We start from the raw sequence: 13,693 nt of genomic DNA on the forward strand, positions 1-13,693 counted from the left end.
GTGCGATCTTGGCTCATTGCAATCTCCACCTCCTGGGTTCCAGCAATTCTCCTGCCTCAGCCTCCCAAGTAGCTGGGATTATAGGTGCACTCTGCCACGCCTGGCTAATTTTTGTATTTTTAGTAGAGATGGGGTTTTACTATGTTGGCCAGGCTGGTCTCAAACTCCTGACCTCATGTGATCCACCTGCCTTGGCCTCCCAAAATGCTGGGATTATAGGCGTGAGCTACCATGCCTGGGCTCTTTTTTTTTTTTTTTTTTTTTTTTTTTTTTGAGATGGAGTCTTGATCTGTTGCTCAGGCTGGAGTGCAATGGCATGATCTTGGCTCACTGCAACCTCCATCTCCCAGGTTCAAGCAATTTTCTTGCCTCAGCCTCCCTAGTAGCTGGGACTACAGCCATGTACCACCACACCCAGCTAATTTTTTTGTATTTTTAGTAGAGATGGGGTTTCACTGGTGTTGGCCAGGCTGGTCTCCTGACCTCAAGTAATCCTCGGCCTCCCAAAGTGCTGGGAATACAGGCATCAGCAACCACGCCTGTCGTCTTGCTATGTTGCCCAGGCTGGTCTTGAACTCCTGACCTCAAGTGATCCTCCCACCTCGGCCTCCCAAGGTGCTGTGATTACAGGCATGAACCACCATGTCTGGCTCGGACCATAGTTCTTTTATAATAATAGTGGTCATCATTCTAGTAGTTGTTATCTAATCACATTTTATAATCATTAGTTCTAAAATATTAAGTGCCAAAATAAATAAATAAAAAAGAAAAAAAATAAAAATAAAATAAAATCTTAAGTGCCAGGTTCTGGGCTAAGAGATCTAGGTACAGTATCACATCTAATTCTTCCAGCAACTCTCTGGAATAGGGACCTTTGCTACCCTGAAGAAACAAGTAGAGACAATAGCGCTAAGAAACAGAGAAGCCTAGGCCGGGTGCAGTGGCTCACGCCTGTAATCCCAACACTTTGGGAGGCCTAGGTGGGTAGATCACCTGAGGTCAGGAGTTTGAGACCAGCCTGGCCAACATGATGAAACTCCATTTCTATTAAAAATACAAAAAATTAGCCAGGCGTGGTAGCGGGTGCCTGTAATCCCAGCTACCTGGGGGACTGAGATAGGAGAATCGAGGTAACGGTTGCAGTGAGCAGAGAGAGTGCCACTGCACTCCAGCATGGGTGACAGAGCAAGACTCCATCTCAGAAAAAAAAATAAATAAAGAAATATAAAAATACAAAAAGTTATCCAGGCATGGTGGTACATGTCTGTAATCCCAGCTACTTGGGAGGCTGAGGCAGGGGAATCACTTGAACCTGGGAGGTGGAGGTTGCGGTGAACCAAGATCGCACCATTGCACTCTGGCCTGGGTGACAGAGCAAGACTCTGTCTCAAAAAAAGAAATTATATATATATATATATATTTGTGGAATGAATGAGTAAATTAATATGTGAAAGAAGCTGTGGTGTTAAAAAATATTTTAAACAAAAACGATGGCCGGACACGGTGGCTGACGCGTTGAATCCCAGCACTTTGGGAGGCTGAGGTGGGTGGATCACTCAAAATACAAAAATTTACCCGTCTCTACTAAAAATGCAAAAATTAGCCTGGCGTGGTGGCACATGCCTGTAACCCCAGGTACTCGGGAGGCTGAGGCAGGAGAATCGCTTCAACCGGGCAGGCAGAGGTTGCAGTGAGCCGAGATCGTGCCGCTGCACTCCAGCCTGGATGACAGAGTGAGACTCCATCTCAAAACAAAAAAAAAACCTCGGTGAAGTCTGGTCTGACCCCGGAGCCCTTAATCACCACCCCAGGATACCCCATTCACAAGCACAAGAAACACAGTTACACTCAGATGCCCCCTTCTCTGGGCAGAGGTTTCCTAAGACTTTGTATATATTAAGTTTTGTTAATTGCACCTCACTGAAAGGTGTTGGCCCTCTGTGCTCTCCGCCTGCCATGATTCTGGGATTTTGGTCCTCCCTGGCATCGACCCTGCTGAATCCAGACAGTAGAGACTGGGGAGTTGCTTGTTGGTGTCAGGGGATCTCTGAAAACCATGGGCTCAGGTCGTGACTTTGCAAATAATACTTCCCGGGGGAACACTGGGCATAGCATTTTTTTTCTTTTTTTGAGACAGAGTCTTGCTCTGTGGCCCAGACTAGAGCTCAGTGGCATAATCATAGCTCACTGCAGCCTCAACCTCTTTGGCTCAAGTGATTCTCTCCTCTCAGCCTCCCGAGCAGCTGAGACTACAGGCATGTACCACGGAGCCTGGATAATGTTTTGTTTATTTTTTGTAGAGACGAGTTCTCACTAGGTTGCCCAGGCTGGTCTTAAACTCCTGGCCTCAACTGATCCTTCTGTCTTGGCCTCCCAAAGTGTTGGGATTCCAGGTGTGAGCCTGGGCATAGATTTTTTATAAGTCAGTGTTTGCCAGATGTCAAATATTTGTGCTGTGGCCTGAATGTTTGTGTCTACCCAAATTTCTGTGTTGAAAGCTAATCCACAGTGTGATGGTATTAAAAGGTGGGATCTTCAGGAGGTAATTAGCACTTGAGGGTGGGCCCCTCATTAATGGGATTAGTGCCCTTGTAAGGGATTGAAGAGACCAGAGTTCTCGCCTTCTGCCACTTGAGGACAGAGTCCAAAGGCACCATGGGCTGGGCACTGAGGCTCATGCCTGTAATCCCAGCACTTTGGGAAGCTGAAGAGGGAGCATTGTTTGAGCCCAGGAGTTCAAGACCAGCCTGGGTAACAGTGTGAAACCCCATCTCTACAAAAAATATAAAAACTAGCCAGGTGTGATGGTGGGTGCCAGTAGTCCCAGCTACTCAGGAGGCTGAAGTGGGAGGATCGCTTGAGCCCGGGAAGTTAAGGCTGCAGTGAGCTGAGATCGTGCCACTGCACCCCAGCCTGGGGGACAGAGCAAGACCCTGTGTCAAAAAAACAAAAACAAAAACAAACCAAAAAAACCCACCATCTATGAACCAGAGAATGTGCCCTCACCAGACACCAAATCTACTGGTGCTTTGGTCTTGGACTTCCCAGCATCCAGAACGGTGAGAAATACATTTCTGTTGTTTATTGAAATACCCAGCTTATGGTATTTTGCTACAGCAGTCCAAAGGGACTAAGACAGTTTGTAAGTGGATCTCCTTTGAAGATCCAGGCTCAAAAAGAAAGGCAGCCAGTGGCTTTGGTCTAGCTGGCCAGCTGGGTCACCAGGGACCTGTGCATTCCCAGAGGGGCTAGCCCATGGGAAGAGGATTTGAAAAGAAATGTGAGAATCTTGCTTCACAGACAATATTTCCCTGGGGGAGAGAAAGAGAAGAGCATGTTTACATGACCAGTTTCATGTGTATTAGTGGTGGGTTGCCCTACCACTAGAAATACACATTCCTAGGAGAGAATGTAAATTTCCTTCCTTCCTTCCTTCCTCCTTCCTTCCTTCTTTCCTTCCTTCCATCCTTCTTTCCTCCCTTCCTCCCTCCCTTCCTCCCTCCCTTCTTTTCTTTCTTTCCTTCTTTCTCTCTTTCCTTCTTTCTCTCTCCTACTTTCTTATTTCTTTCTTTTTGAGATAGGGTCTTGCTCTGTTGCCCAGGCTGGAGTGTAATGGTGCAATTATGATTATGATCTTTCTTTTCTTTTCCCTCTCTTTCTTCCTTCCTTCCTTTCCTTCCTTCCTTTCCTTCTTTCCTTCCCTTCCTTCCCTTCCTTTTTTTTTGAGACGGAGTCTCGCTCTGTTGCCCAGGCTGGAGTGCAGTGGTGTGGTCTTGGCTCACTGCAACCTCTGCCTCCCGGGTTCAAGCAATTCTCCTGCCTCAGCCTCCCGAGTAGCTGGGATTACAGGTGCTCATCACCACGCCCGGCTAAATTTTTTTTTTTTGAGATGGAGTCTCACTCTGTTGCCCAGGCTGGAGTACAGTGGCATGATCTTGGCTCACTGCAAGCTCTGCCTTCCAGGTTCCCGCCATTCTCCTGCCTCAGCCTCCCGAGTAGCTGGGACTACAGGCACCCACCACCACGCCTGGCTAATTTTTGTATTTTTAGTAGAGACGGGGTTTCACTGTGTTAGCCAGGATGGTCTCGATCTCCTGACCTTGTGATCCACCCGCCTCAGCCTCCCAAAGTGCTGGGATTACAGGCGTGAGCCACCGCGCCCGGCCAATTTTTTGTGTTTTTTGTAGAGACAGGGTTTCACCGTGTTGGTCAGGCTGGTCTTGAACTCCTGACCTCATGATCAGCCCATCTTGGCCTCCCAAAGTGCTGAGATTACAGGCATGAGCCACTGTGCCTGGCCCAAATTTTTTTATACATTGCAAATACTTAAAACACCAAATAGCCCAGATGATTCTTTTTTTTTTTTTTTTTTTTTGAGATGGAGTCTTGCTCTGTCGCCCAGGCTGGAGTACAGTAGTGCAATCTTGGCTCACTGCAACCTCCATCGCCTGGGTTCAAACGATTCTTCTGCCTCAGCCCCCCAAGTAGTTGGGATTACAGGTGCACACCACCACTCCTGGCTAGTTTTTATATTTATAGTAGAGATGGGGTTTCTCCATGCTGGCCAGGCTGGTCTTGAACTCCTGACCTCAGGCAATCCACTCGCCTCAGCCTCCCAAAGTGCTAGGATTACAGGCTTGAGCCAACGTGCCTGGCCTGATGATTCTTAAATATAATATAAAAGTCTTAATTCTGGGGCTTTGATTTCCTTCATCTCTGTATTCAATTTTAAGGCTTCGTGGCTGAACATGAAAAGACACATAAGAAAACAATTTTATTGGCCAGGCACAGTGGCTCACGCCTGTAATCCTAGTACTTTGGGAGGCCAAAGTGGGAGAATCACTGGAAGCCAGAAGTTTGAAATCAGCCTGGGCAACAAAGCAAGACCCTATCTCTGTTCTTATTTGTTATTATTTTATTTATTTATTTATTTTTTGAGATGGAGTCTTGCTGTGTTGCCCAGGCTGGAGTGTGCAGTGCAGTGGCGTGATCTCAACTCACTGCAACCTCTGCCTCCCGGGTTCAAGTGATTCTCCTGCCTCAGCCTCTGGAGTAGCTGGGATTACAGGCACCTGCCATGACGCCCAGCTAATTTTTTTGTGTATTTTTAGTAGAGATGGGGTTTCACCATGTGGGCCAGGCTGGTCTTGAACTCCTGACCTCAAATGATCCATCTGCCTTGGCCTCCCAAAGTGCTGGAATCACAGGCGTGAGCCACCACGCCCGGCCTCTTATTTATTATTGTTTTTTGTGGTGGGGACAGGGTCTCACTCTGCAGCCCAGGCTGAAGTGCAGTGGTGCAATCATGGCTCAGTGCAGCCTCAGCCTCCTGGGCTCAAGTGATCTTCCTGCTTTCGCCTTCCGAACAGCTGGGACTACAGGTGCGTGCCACCACATCCAGTCAATTTTTCTATTTTTTGTAGAGACAGGGTTTTGCCATGTTGCCCAGGCTGGTCTAGAACTCCTGACCTCAAGTGGTCCACCCACCTTGGCCTCCCAAAGTGCTGGGATTACAGGTGTGAGCCACCTCCTGTCTCACCTCACAGGAGTGCTGGCCTCCTGTCTCTATTCCTAAAAAAAAAAAAAAAAAAAAAAAAAAAAAGAAAGAAAGAGAAAAGATAACAATTTTGCTAGCTAGGTGAGATTAATTCTTGGCCAGATAATTTATTATTGGGAAGGGAGTTCTGACTTTCTAGTTACGGAAAAAAAACCTTAGCCTGGCATGGTGGCTCACACCTGTAAGCCCAGCACTTTGGGAGGCTGAGGCAGGAGGATCACTGGAGCCCAGGAGTTTGAGACCAGCCTGGACAACCTAGGGAGACCCCCGTCTCTACAAAAAATTTAAAAAATTAGATGGGCATGGTGGCATGCACCCATGGTCCCAGCTACGTGGGAGGCTGAGGTGGGAGAATCGCTTGAGCCCAGGAGGTCAAGGCTGCAGTGAGGTGTGTTTGCACCATAGCACTATAACCTGGGCAACAGAGCGAGACCCTGTCTCAAAACAAAACAAAACAAAACAACCTTTTCAAAAATGCTGCTGAGCCCTTCTAAAATTGTTACCATAACAAATGGGCTTCATGGGCTACAAAGGTTTGGTCCTCTGGCCTTCAGTCTGGGTTCATGGTGTACCATCAGCTCACTTTCCTAACCAGTGACATTAGAGGGAAGTCTGTAGCTACCCAGGTGGCTCGCGGCTGGACTGGCATCAGCCGGTCTCTCTGTCGCCCAGCTCTATTCTGCATTCTTTCTGCATTCCATCTCACCGTCTGGCCTGGCCACGGCCCCTGAGAGTAGTTACATGATGCCTGGCAGGCCGATGATATTGCCTGTCACCCCTTCGGCCAGCTTTCCTCCTGGCCAGGCTGATGTTGGGGTTGTGACCCAGAGATGAACAGGCAGGTCTCAGGGGGCCCCTTGGGGAGGCTGTAGATTGTTCCTGGGAGGGATCAGCTCTCATAATGTCAACAGAGTGCAAGGGGGATGCAACTCATCTGTCATCTACCAGCCCAGGGGCGGCACCGTGTGTGGCTGCCAGGCTCAGCTTACAAACCTCAGAGTCTGGAGACCTGGAGGAGGGGAGGCGAGGAGCCCATGTTGGGGGAGATCAAATAACAGGCTCTGGGCAGGCTGGAGGGGGACAGAGGGAGGAGGCTGGCCAAGCAATCTCCAAGCCCAGCCCTGCCACCAGTCAATCCACAGATGAGCGCCTACTGCATGCAGCCCTCCCTCCCTCCCTCTCTCCCTCCCTCCCTCTCTCCCTCCCTCTCTCTCTTTCTCCTTCTTTCTTTCCTTCTTTCTTGCTTTCTTTCTTTCTTTCTTTCTTTCTTTCCTTTCTTTTTTCTCTCTCTCTTTCTCTCTCTTTCTTTCTTTCTCTCTCTGTCTCTCTCTCTCTTTCTTTCTTTCTTTCTTTCTTCCTTTCTTTCAGACAGGGTCTCACTCTGTTGCCCAGGCTGGAGTGCAGTGGTGCCATCATAGCTCACTGCAGCCTCCAACGCCTACACTCAAGCATTCCTACTGCCTCAGCCTCCTAAGTAACTGGGATTACAGGTGCACACCACCACACTCAGCTAATTTTTTTATTTTTATTTTTTTAATAGAGACAGAGTTTCACTATGTTGCCCAGGCTGGTCTTGAACTCCCGGGCTCAAGTGATCCTCCTGCCTCAGCCTCCCAGAGTGCTGGGATTACAGGTGTTTGCCACCACGCCCAGCCTAACACCTGTTATGTGCAGTGCGCTCTCTTAGGGTTCTGCTGTCTCGAAGGTGGAGGAGTGATAACCCAGCTGCGGGATGATCCTGTCTGAGGGATGATGGCAGAAGTCAGGCGTGTTCTGAATGTCCTTTGAAGGAAAGATAAAAGGATTTGCTGCTGGACTGGATTTGGTGTGAGAAATGGGGAGAGACAGGAGTCCAGGACAAGGCCAGGCTCTTGGGTCTGGCAGCTGGTGAAATAAGAGTGCCGCTCCCTGAAGATGGCGTGCGGAATCTGAATAGGTTCAGAAGGTTGCAAAATCTTTCTGGGTATGTGCTATGAACTTCAAGGCCAATGTTTCTCTACATTTTGTAACCATAGTCTGAGTAAGAAATGCATTCTGGCCGGGTGCGGTGGCTCACACCTGTACTCCCAGCACTTTGGGAGGCCGAGGTGGGTGGATCACCTGAGGTTAGGAGTTCAAGACCAGCCTGGCCAACATGGTGAGACCCTGTCTCTACAAAAATACAAAAATTAGACAGGTGTGGTGGCGGGCGACTGTAATCCTAGCTACTCGGGAGGGTGAGGCAGGACAATTGTTTGAACCTGGGAGGCAGAGATTGCAGTGAGCTGAGATTGTGCCATTGCACTCCAGCCTGGGTGAGAGAGTAAGATTCCATCTAAAAAAAAAAAAAAAAGAAATGTATTTTACACAACAATCAATACACCTGAAAGTAGAATTTCTGCAGCAATGTTTACCCGTTGCTGTGTGCAGTGCACTCTGATGTTTTCTATTGAATTTCATTTTTTAAAAATTGTGCTGGTTGTGACTTTTATCCGTTGGTCATGATCTAAAAATTGAAAATTATCATTCTAGGTTCTACCTCTTCAAGACTTAGCTTGAGTTCTTTACTGCCCTGGAGAAGTCTGGGAGTGTGGCCGGGTGACCACGGGGCAGCCAGAGCCTGGCAGGGATGACTGGAAGGAGGGGAGCTAAGACTTTGCAGTGTTCCTCCAGGGATGATGATGTAATCATGGAAGGGCTCAAAGCCTTTCCCAAGGACAGGGTCAAGGCTACTAAGTCCAAGTAGCAGGGACAGGCACAGCCCGGCCAGTAAGGGTGTGTGGCCCGGGGCTGGTGCCTCCCTTACTCCCTGGTCCTGCAGAGGACGCCTGGGATCTGCAGCACTGTGGCAATGACATGTTGGGGAGAAGGGACCCTCGCAGGCTCCCAGACCTGCTTTGTGACTTACTGAGTGAGTGCCCGACCCCTGCCTCACCAGCCCTGGGCTTCAGAGCCTGAGAATGAAACCCGCCCTTCTTCCACCTCCTCTCCTGCCCATCTCCTTCCCTCCTTCCTCTTCCCAGCTGGTGCCACGAGGAGCTGGCGGACCTCCAAGAGAATTGGCCAAGAATGCAGCCTCTGGACAGTGACCTGGGTGAGAATCATCACAGTGGCTCACCCCGGACCCAGGAATTTCACTTAGTCCTTGTCATCATCCACCAATGCGGGACAGCTCGGCCCAGATTGTTCATGGCTCAAGACCCCCACCCCACCCCATTCTGCTTGGTTGGGCTGTGTTGTTTATTTTATTTAATGAATTAATTTATTTATTTGAAACAGAATCTTGCTCTGTTGCCCAGGCTGGAGTGCAATGGCACGATCTCAGTTCACTGCAACCTCTGTCTCCCGGGTTCAACTGATTCTCCTTGCCATGGTCCCCTAAGTAGCTAGGATTACAGGTGCCTGCCACCACACCCGGCTACTTTTCATGTTTTTAGTAGAGACAGGGTTTCATTGTGTTGGCTGGGCAGGTCTTGAACTCCTGACCTCAGCTGATCTGCCTGTCTCAGCCTCCCAAAGTGCTGGGATTACAGGCATGAGCCACCATGCCCGGCCGCACTGTGCTGTTTTTAAGCCTCTTGAATATCATCACCTCTCTTTGTTTACAGATGGGGAAACAGTTTACAGACGGGGAAACAGGCTCAGAGGGAAAAAATACCTTTTCAGGGTTTTCCAGGCAAAGAGTGGCAGAGCAGAGACCAACCTCCGCCTGGCCAAAGCCCTTCTCTGCTTCCTGTCCATTTGTGGGTGATCTGGTGGTTTCTCCTTTTCTTTCTTTCTCTCTCTCTCTCTTTCCTTTCTGACAGAGTCTTGCTTTGTCGCCCAGGCTGGAGTGCAATGGTGTCATCTCGGCTCACTGCAACCTCTACCTCACGGGTTCAAGCGATTCTCCCACCTCAGCCTCCCAGGTAGCTGGGACTACAGGCGTGTACCACCACACCTTGCTTTTTTTTTTTTTTTTTTTTTTGTATTTTTAGTAGAGACGGGGTTTCACCATGTTGGCCAGGCTGGTTTCGCACTCCTGACCTCAAGTGATCTGCCCACCTTGGCCTCCCAAAGTGCTGGGATTATAGGCATGAGCCACTGCTCCCGGCCAGATCTGGTGGGGTTTTTTTGAGACACAGCCAGATCTTCACAGTGCCAGGTGGGGTGATGTGCAGGACTGCAGCTGTGTCTGGATTCTGGACAAGGCTCCAAATGATCACCACCATATCTTGGCTGTTCAGTTAGGTGGGTCTGGGCTAGAGATGAGAAAGGAGGGGTGAGGGAGGAGGAGAGGAATCTGAGCCTCAGATCTGAGGCTGCAGGCCTCTCTGCATCATCTCCTCTTCCACATGGTACCCACTTTTGGGAAAGGCATCCGGATGTGTGCATTGAACAGTATACAAGGGCCTGTGGTCCTGGGACAATATTTTAACACAGGCTTTATTATTATTTGGGTATAGTAAAACCAAGAGATCCTGAGATGACAGTTATTAGGAAGGTTGTTGTACTTACAAATTCCAAGAGGAGGGGACATGCCATACTATGGAGACCACACAGGGACTCACCAGGGTAGGTCAGGAGGCAGAGGGAACACAGGGAGCTCTGGGCAAGAGGCTTTATTGTGGGCAAGATGGGGACACACAGTAAAAGCTTACTTCTCATTCCTGTTATTGCCCAGGCTGCCTGGGCAGATGCTCTACTCCACGCAGTCATTTAGGGATCCAGGCTATTTCCATCTAGTGGCCCCACCATCCTCCCAGGCCTCATAATATTCCACTGGATCAGTCCAGCAGGTGAGAGGGATGAGGGCATGGAGAGTTATGGGGGAGATATTTGTGGGTCAGCCCCAGAAACGTAACACGTCACTCCTGCCCACATTCTCTACTGAACTGCAGAGGAGGCTTGGAAGTGTAGTCAGGCTCTGTGTGCCCAGAAGGAAAACAAGACAGGGCTTGATGAACACAGATCCCAGTCTCTGCATTGAGAGCATTTCCCAGAAGCCACCGTAAGGGCTTCTCCTTTTGAGTCACGGATCAGAGCTGAGTCACATGCACACTGGCAAGAGGAACCAGGATCACCCTGATATCTAAACCATCAGGATTTCCTTCCAGACTTGGGAATGGGAGGAGATGCCAACAAACTCAAGGCTGTATTAGACAGGAAGTGGGGATGGCTAATGGATAGGTGACAGACAGTTTCAGCCCCTTCTTCTCACAGCTCCCTGCCATTTCTCCTCACCACTCCACAATCCCCATCCTTTTTTTTTTTTGAGACGGATTTTTGCTCTTGTCACCCAGACTGGAGTGCAATGGCGTGATCTCAGCTCACTGCAACCTCTGTCTCCCGGGTTCAAGCGATTCTCTTGCCTCAGCCTCCTGAGTAGCTGGGACTATAGGCACATGCCATCACGCCTGGCTAATTTTTGTATTTTTAGTAGAGACATGGCAGCAGGCAAGAGAGAAATGAGAACCAAGTGAAAGGGGTCCCCCGTTATAAAATCATCAGATCTTGGCCAGGCGCGATGGCTCATGCCTGTATTCCCAGCACTTTGGGAGACTGAAGCAGGCAGATCACCTGAGGTTGGGAGTTCGAGACCAGCCTGGCCAACATGGAGAAACCCCGTCTCTACTAAAAATACAAAAATTAGCTAAGTGTGGTGGTGCACGCCTGTAGTCCCAGCTACTTGGGAGGCTGAGGCAGGAGAATCACTTGAATCTGGGAGGCAGAGGTTGCAGTGAGCTGAGATCACACCATTGTACTCCAGCCTGGGCAACAAAGCCAGCTCAAGAAAAAAAAAATCAGATCTTGTGAGACTTATTTACTACCATGAGAACAGTATGGGTGAATCCGCCTCCATGATTCAATTATCCCCCCCAAGTCCTTCCTATAACACGTGAGAATTATAGGAGCTACAATTCAAGATGAGATTTGGGTGGGGACACAGCCTAATAATATCACCCCCTCCCTCACTAACCTCCATTAGTTCTTCTTCCCTGAGGGTTGAACAGAAACCAGCCTTTTGTGTTTTGTTTTTTATTTGTTAGTTTGTTTTTGAGACAGTCTCGCTCTGTTGCCAGGCTGGAGGGCAGTGGCATGATATCAGCTCACTGCAACCTCCGCCTCCTGGGTTCAAGCGATTCTCCTGCCTCAGCCTCCCGAGTAGCTGGGACTACAGGTGCGTACGACCATGCCCAGCTAATTTTTGTATTTTTAGTAGAGACGGGGTTTCACCATGTTGGTCAGGATGGTCTCGATCTCTTGACCTCAAATGATCCGTTCACCTCTGCCTCCCAAAGTGCTGGGATTATAGGCATGAGCCACCATGCCCAGCCAAACCAGCCTTTTTGAAAGGCTCATTCCACTGTTGATATCAACCAATTGCCCGATGCTACCTGTTTTGTGATTTTGACACAACTGACCAGCATTCCTTCGTGATAAGATACTATCAGTCACAGAGTGGTTCTGGCCAGTCTACAGAGTTTGCACACTGAGGGCCCTCATGACCTCGGCTTCGCCTTTTGTTTTTGTTTGTTTGTTTTTTGAGAGAGTCTTACTCTGTCTCCCAGGCTGGGGTGCAGTGCAGTGGTGGGATCTCGGCTCACTGCAATCTCCGCCTTCCAGGTTCAAGCGATTCTCCTTCTTCAGCCTCCCCAGTAGCTGGGATTACAGACACCTGCCACCATGCCTGGCTAATTTTTGTATTTTTAGTAAAGACGGGGTTTCGTCATATTGGCCAGGCTGGTCTTGAACTCCTGACCTCAAGTGATCTGCCTGACTTAGCCTCCCAAAGTGCTGGAATTACAGGTGTGAGCCACTGCACCCAACCCTCTGCTTCACCTTTTGATGTATAGGGCCTAATTGTAATGTGTTTAAATGTTAAATTGTAATACATTTAAATATTCACCCCAGATGAACATGGGATGCATGTGCATATGTTGGCCTACTATGCATGCACACGTTTCCCCTTTGTGAATATTCATAGCTCCTCCTGTAACCTGTTGAATATATATATTTGGCCACCCCATTCAGCATAAACCCCTGTCTTCATCTTCCCACCTTCAAAGTGCCTGTTTTTGGCTTCTGGCCAGAGGCTACACTTCTGAGCTTGTCAGAATAGACCACCTGCAGGCTGCAACCCCTTATGAGAAATAAAGCTCTCCTTTCCAAGTGTATGAACCTCATCATTCTTCAGCTGACACAGCTAAATTTCAGGGAACACTACAACTAAAGGGAAGAAGGGAAGAAAGGCTGTGGGGATGCTGCTTAGTTTCTACCATGACATGATGGCAGGCACAGTGCTAAGCTTGCTCATGTATCTTTTTTTTTGAGACAGAGTCTCACTCTGTCACCCAGGCTGGATTGCAGTGGCACAATCTCAGCTCACTGCAACCTCCACCTCTCAGGTTCAAGCAATTCTCATGCCTCAGCCTCTTGAGTAGCTGGGACTACAGGCACCCGTCACCACACCTGGCTAATTTTTTGTATTTTAAGTAGAGGCAGGGTTTTGCCATGTTGCCCAGGCTGGTCTCGAACTCCTGAGCTCAGGCAATCTGCCCGCCTTGGCCTCCCAAAGTGCTAGGATTACAGGCATGAACCACTGCACCTGGCTGCTCATGTATCGTTTAATTGAACCTCCCGCAATCCTATGAGGATGCTGGATCAGGGAAAAGGACTTTGGTTACAAGCAGCAGGAAGTCCAGTTAACATTGGGGCCTGCTAATACAAGGGTACTTATTGTTTATTTAACAAGCACTCTTGAGATAAGCTATCTTGGGATCTTGGGGTTGGTCTAGCAGCTCAGTTATGTCTTCAGGGAGCCAGCCTGCTTCTCTTCCTTTCCATCACCCTCAGCATGTTGGTGTTTGTCTTAGAGGTTGGCAGCCTCAGCGGCTGGGACCATAACTTCACACACAAAGGCAGGAAGACATAGGAAGGGAAGGGCGCCCAGCACACTTCCCCTGATGCCTTCTTGAGCAGAACTGGGTCAAAGGGCTACCTTTAGCTGCAAAGGAGGCTGTGAAAGCAAACATCCAGCAAAGGGGAACAAGCTAGCCACATCTGGTGTATTCTTTTTTTTTTTTTTTTTTTTGAGATGGAGTCTCGCTCTATTGCCCAGGTTGGAGTGCAATGGCACGATCTCATCTCACTGCAAACTCCGCCTCCTGGGTTCAA

General features: G+C 49.0%; 1 annotated feature.

Annotated features, from left to right (window-relative positions):
- Positions 13,634-13,693: an enhancer, noted in NCBI's record as "active region_14607". NCBI's record gives its function as "activates an Ori minimal core promoter by ATAC-STARR-seq in GM12878 lymphoblastoid cells {active_cell/tissue: GM12878}" and the evidence as "EXISTENCE:reporter gene assay evidence [ECO:0000049][PMID:35858748]".

This window comes from Homo sapiens, chromosome 19 (assembly GCF_000001405.40).
Source record: "Homo sapiens chromosome 19, GRCh38.p14 Primary Assembly".
NCBI classification, from domain to species: domain Eukaryota; kingdom Metazoa; phylum Chordata; class Mammalia; order Primates; family Hominidae; genus Homo; species Homo sapiens.